At 33.0% G+C, this 6,582-nt stretch overlaps 1 annotated feature.

The window, feature by feature from the left end:
• Nucleotides 1,024–1,193: an enhancer, noted in NCBI's record as "experimental_88541 CRE fragment used in MPRA reporter constructs". NCBI's record gives its function as "activates a minimal promoter by MPRAs in K562 erythroleukemia cells, with activity observed for both the introgressed and non-introgressed 6:120866559 variant alleles {active_cell/tissue: K562}" and the evidence as "EXISTENCE:reporter gene assay evidence [ECO:0000049][PMID:34662402]".

Below are 6,582 nucleotides of genomic sequence, written 5' to 3' on the forward strand. Positions count from 1 at the left end.
AAATTTGTTAGCAAAACACAAGTAGCAGCATGTTACTTAATGATTCTGATGATAAAAATCGTGCCTGCAAAGTGTGAGAGTTGGCATGAGCAAAGGATTGTTTAAGTCAAAGGTTCAAAGCTGGATTTTTTTTTTCTTGAAATTCCATTCTTCATGGAATCCAAGAGATTTTTGGAAAAAGATGACCAAGGGAAAGGAACACTGAGGAAGATAAAGTGCTACAACCTATAAGGAAATACTAAGGAGCTATTACACAAAGGAAAAACTAACAGTTTATATGCCCAGGACAGAAATTGATGGTTTGGGGAGTAATGTTATTAAATAGTTCCCTGGGGAGGTATATTTACTATGACTTTGTTATTTTAATATTTAATATTTCTTCATGGAATGGAATTTTGAGAAAACAAAATCCAGCTTTGAACCTCTGACTTAGGCAATTCATTCCTTTGTACCCAACCTTTGACCTTTGTGATCAAAGCTAATAGGAGAATCTGTCTCATGCTCTCCTGCTCTCCTGCTCTCTATTCCTCTGGCTATCCTTTCTTTTCTCCTTTGGTTCTTCATAACTGTCCACATCTCCCAGCCATTAAAAAGTGCCAAAATTCTTTTTACATATTGGAAGTTTCTTTGGCCCCCTTTTCTGCCTGTTTTTACTACTGCGTAGAGGAGAAAGGAAAATTTGAGTCCTGAAATTAGGGGAAAGAAAACCTAATTACCATTTATTTTATTTGTTGTTGTTGTAGTTTTTCCAAAGAAGAAAAAATAAATAAATAAGACAAAACTACATCATACTGAATGGTTAATTGCTTTCCAGGTGCTCTTACGAAATACACTTAACAGATCTGTATACCTCTTGCTAAGGAAATGGTGAACTTACTACCCAAAAGAGCAAGTGACCATAATCTTGGCTATATTACAATGCCATAATTCATATTTTACTAATTAAACCATGGAAGGTACATTTCCATTTGTCTCTTTCCAATCCCTGTATTTCAGCAGAGGCAAAGGTATTCTTAGCACACATACATAAGTAACCTAATTCCAAGACAATAAGACCATCACTTACATTTCAGTCTCAGTCCATTTTTAATATTTTCCTTAGTGGTCTAGAAAAGAAGACTAGCTAATATGAAATGAATGGTATTTTTTAAATAATCTGTTCAGGGATACAGATATCATTCATGAAGGGTTACATATCTCTCTATAAATGCCATTTGTACTATGTAGACTGGGAGTGGGTGTTTTCATGGTTGGCATTTTATTCGTTTCTCTGAATGAATACAAAGAAACCTGACCTTTAGCTCTTTCACTTTCCTCTTAATCAAGATATTACTAATGGGTTTCCCTGAACCCTAAAGGCCAGAAGGAAATACTTAAAATACACTGTTATTACACCCAATCCAAATGCGATTTACATGCATTGAAGATCAGTGTTTGCATTAAAATTCCCGGTATGGTATAGACCTTCTCAGTGGTAAAAGGTCCTCATATAGGATAGGTTGAAAACCTTCACCACCAAATTTTAGAAAACATTATGTTTATCTTGGCCCCTCCAAAAATATATTTTGCTCTGAACTATAACGAATTGTTAACCTGACATAACATCATTTTATCTCCTATAACTGCATCTAAATATCTATCTTAATAAAGGCTTATTAAAGTTTTTCTATGTGGAATAATTGAATATTAGAAAGTTTATTAGTTTTCAATCAATTGGTCTTTTCTTGGAAGGTAAAATACAGATTTCTGGTGAGTTTAGCAATTTACTCTATGGTTTTCTACCCATAAAGAAAGGAGTTATGATAGTATACAGGCAACCAAGATAAATCTCTCACTGATGATGGCGGATTTATAACAAGGCTTTGTAAATTGAATATTCATGTTACAAAAAGTTCTCTTAAACATGAATGATATACAATAACATCATAATTCATTTTTCTTCCTTTACTTCTGTTCACTACAACACTGATGTATTTATTTCTTCTCCTTTCACTTTTATATGCTTGACTTACAATTTCTTAAAATGGAAGATATACTTTAATATGCAATAAGGTGTGTGCACATTACATGTATATGTATGTGATTATATCACTGTAATCAGAGTAGCTGATTCGATTTTGACTGGAGCATAGCAAATTTAACATTTTCTCTTAGGAATAAAACACTTCAATTATCACAAATCCTGAATGAGTAAATAACTGATATAAAAGCTCACATGACATAAGTATAAATCTTAAATGGTAAGGAGGAAGGTGGTTCTCTATAGTATTTCAGAACTAAAAATATCTTTTTGATATTCTCTAGTGTATTTATCTTTCAACCCTTTTGTGAGAGATGGGACAATCAAATTGGTTTAGAAGCACCTATAGGAATGTTAGAAAACATTCTGATTTATTGGTCTATTTTGTGATGAATATTTGACCCAGACAGTATTTGTAAACTGGGAAATTTCATATAATCTGAATTTCCAGATTTTCTTAAAAAATCAGAAGATGGCAACATCGAACCCATGTTCTTTATAGTAAATAACTAGATGGTTCTTAGTAGCAGAATTTTTCAATAAAAAGGGGAATACCTTTCCCTAACTTAAGCATTTCCAATGGCCACAAAAGCCAGGATGGTAAAGAAAATAAATGAAGTCAGCAAGACATAACACATTAGGGTGCTGACAGGCTGCAACAAATTCACGTTGTGTCTTACAGGAAGCACCTGCTACTCTGCACTAACCAAGTGTTTACTACAAAGGAATGCTGTCTCAATAGTGCCACATCTTCCTATTTTCCAAGAAAATCTAGACGCTCAGATTATTATCTTAACTCTCCCAGTTTCCAAGTGTTGTTTGGATCACATGTTGGTTGATTGGATCTAGTATGAAGACCACGTTTGCGACCACTAAGGAAGATTGTTTTTTAAAAAATGTTTATTATGGAGAATTTCGAACACATATAAAAGTGAACAGAATAGTGTGAGGAGCTTCCTTGTGCCCTATGGACAGCTATGGTTAGCTGTGACCTATCCACACACCATTCACTCCTCCTATCCTGTAGTATTTAGAAGCTAATTGCAAACATTATATTGTATCATTTATAAATATTTTCAAACATATTAAACTCACTTTTAGAAAAATAACATGGTAATACATTTTAGCCAAAAGAAGAATCTATCTACCAAGGTACATGCACAAAACTGGTCCACCAATGTTTTATCTGATAAATCACCAAAGTTAAAAACTTAGAGAGCATTGAAAACTACTCAAAAACTAAGTATAGTTTTCAAAAAGCAGACAGCAATGATATGGTTGGCCTTTTGGATTCCTGTCTCATTCTACTACTTCCTACCAGTGAGAATGAAATGGGGTATTTGCTCATTTGGGCATCATCTTGGTTAGAACTTTTAAAAACTTTATCATTGTGGTTTCAAATTCTAGCTCATTTGTAACAGTTGTCAGAGAATTATAATGTAAGTTCTAGTGTCCTATGAATCTCTAGTTGAGCAAGAACAGAACTGATGATTGAAAGAAAGCATCCGTTCGTATCTTGCTGATGAAATAATATTAAGAATCCTCACTCAGCTGATAGCTAGTGCACGTGAAAGGGTTTATCCCATTTGCTCCTCATTTACACTGCATAAATCCAACATAAGGGTTTTGAATGTGGTCAATAGTTTTAATGAATACCCTTCTAAATCCTATTGTTTATAAAGTTGTCCATAAAGAGTTAGTGAAGCTTGAGTATAAGCCACTCACTTATTTCCAACTCATATGGTAAAATACTAGCTCTTTGTACATAAACTTTCTTTCTTTAAAAAATCAGTTACATTAAGTACAAATTTATTTTTACCTAATATGTAGAAAAAGTAGATATCCTCAGAGACTCCATTATATATTTCATTTGAATAAAAGTAGCAGAGGACAATTATTTGCTATTCTGAATAATTTTTTTAAGAACATGTATCTTATTCTGTAAGACATTTTACATTTTGGACTGCTTTGCCCCTGAAAGCCACCATTAAATAAAAAATACAATGATTTTCTAAAAAAGAAAGAATTTCACATAATTATAATGTGTGTATTCATAGGACATCAATATTATAATGATTTTGTCTGGCTCTATGTAGCAATTTGAAAATGAAGCTACAATAATCATCCCTTTTTCCTTCATTTTTAGATTCAACTGAAGTGTTGGACTTCATTAACCTTGTTGGAAACTTAGGAATATAATAAAACTGCTTTGAATGTTCCCTTTAACCTATGATTTAGATGGAACTGAAATTCAAAGCAAAATGGAATTGAAACTAGACAACACATACATTGGTGGAATTAAGAACGTAGTGCAATTTCATGCCATGGTGACTTTATCACACTCGCCATAGCACGGGGGTAATACTCTCAGGAAGAAGAGCAAGTGTAATCACAAAGCTTCCATTTAATTATGTTTATATAAGTAACCAAAACTTTATGTCATTTTTGATAGTTTATACCTGGATACTCAGTATTTTTTTCCAGCAGGAGGCTGGTATATCAGTAGCCCCATCCATTGCACCTCTTGGGTTTGTTAAGTAACAGTGGGGAATACAGGAGAACTTGCACTGTTGTTTGGGTAGCTGGCCTTTCCAGTCACAACTATTCCCACCAAAGCTTCAGCATGCACCTGCCAATCATCCTAATGAGAAACATCTGGTCATTTAATTGAGCAACTCTAGAATGTTTACAGACATAAGCTCCATTCCCAATAAGACCAAGGATTTTAGGCAGGAAAGCATCATAACTACATATTGGTATATGGTAATATGAGGCTGAATGGCAGACAAGTAACTAAAATAATAGGAACTTCTTTATGCAGCTACAAAGAAACCACCTTTCCAGACCATTCTCCCTGCTCATTTGCCTTAACTTTGCTGAGAATGATAGTTGCCGGTTTAAATAGAAATGAGATGGAGGACTGCTGGAAGAAGAAACTTGTTTCTCTTTTAAAATCAATCTTGATTTGAATAAAGGAAGAAAACATGGATACAGACTGTTGACAACTGGATGCTACACCAGTGATATTTGACAGATGAGAATCTGATTAACGGTCCTACAGAAAAAAAAATGTCATAAAATGGATTAATATATTAAAATCTTAGGGAAATGATTTATTTACCACAAAATAATTTATATGGTTCTTCATATAAATTTTTTAGTTATATCAAATATATATGACAGTTATAAAATATTTACCATTTTTGCTACTTCAATTGATTTTTGCTTCCTCAACATGCAGTAAATATGTAATGTTTTCAATTAGATTATTCCAGGAAATAGAATCAAATATCCATATTAACGATGCAAATTTATGATAAAATTATCATATGAAAATATTTTACTAGGTAATACATGAAGAATAATACTTTGCTCACCAATGAAACGCAATTATCTCTAGGTTGAATGACAGAGTTTCAGAGCCTAGAACAGCAATACAAAAAGAAAATAACTTCCCCAAGCTGAATCAGAGAGGGATTTTAGGTATGCAGAATTTAATTACGCTCATTAGTATTAGGCCAGGAGGCAAAGCTTTATTCTAATGAGAAGCCTGATAATGCTTTCAATGATCACGAGCATATTTGGCTATTCCATGTCATCTGTTAAAACAGCTTCTTTCCTAGAACAATGACCTCTGTCCAGAAGCATGTGCTAACATATAATGGTTTTGTTTAATAAGTCTAATTATTTTTCTTGTCCATATTTTATCCCCAAACTGACCAGGCCTGGTCCTCCTGTCACACAAGGGTTCATGATCAGGGCACGATAAAACATGTATTAAACTTTCCTGTGTGTTTTCAAATCAACACTTTCAATCAGACTAATACTTAAGAGACAGCCTGAACCAATAAAATACACACCACTGACTCTAATCCCCACTGTCTTCTAAAGTATAAAACTCTGGACAGGATAAAGAGAAGCTTTCATTTTGTTAATTTAATGAATCTGTATTTATTATTTGTATCTTCCTAGACTCTGAACTGCTTTTGAAGGAAAATAGTTTAAATTGTGTCTGTGACCAAAGAGAGTAAAACAGGAGGTATTATGAATAAAGAGTAGAGAGGAGTAAATGTTTGAGGGCTACAAGAGACTTGCATTCTTTACTTTCTTACTAAGGTATTTTATTTGAATTATTGCTTACCATTGATCATTTATTTTATCCAAGGAACGGCTGAAAGTTCATTTTTCTGCTTCATTGTGTTTAGAGGTTAGAGATGTCTTCAAAACAGCTCAAGGATTTTCCTTTTCATCATCTCTAATGCATGCTATTGTCAAAGGTTTATGGAGTTTTTGTTTTGTTTTTAATAACTTTTGGAAGAATTTATACAGGTGGATAACAAAATCTCTATACTCTGAAGGTGTTTTAAAAGCTGCTGCTTTTTTGTTATTTTACTTAAGCATGGGTTATTTCAAATAGCTCTTGGTAAACTTTCATTGAAATAATTTCTGTAGATTAAATATAGATAAGTAATATCAATAAATGCTCATTGAGCCCATGCAAATTGTTCATATGATATTGTGTATCATATTTTTCAACTATAATAAATATAAAAACTATTTAT

Source organism: Homo sapiens, chromosome 6 (genome assembly GCF_000001405.40).
Source record: "Homo sapiens chromosome 6, GRCh38.p14 Primary Assembly".
NCBI classification, from domain to species: Eukaryota; Metazoa; Chordata; class Mammalia; order Primates; family Hominidae; genus Homo; species Homo sapiens.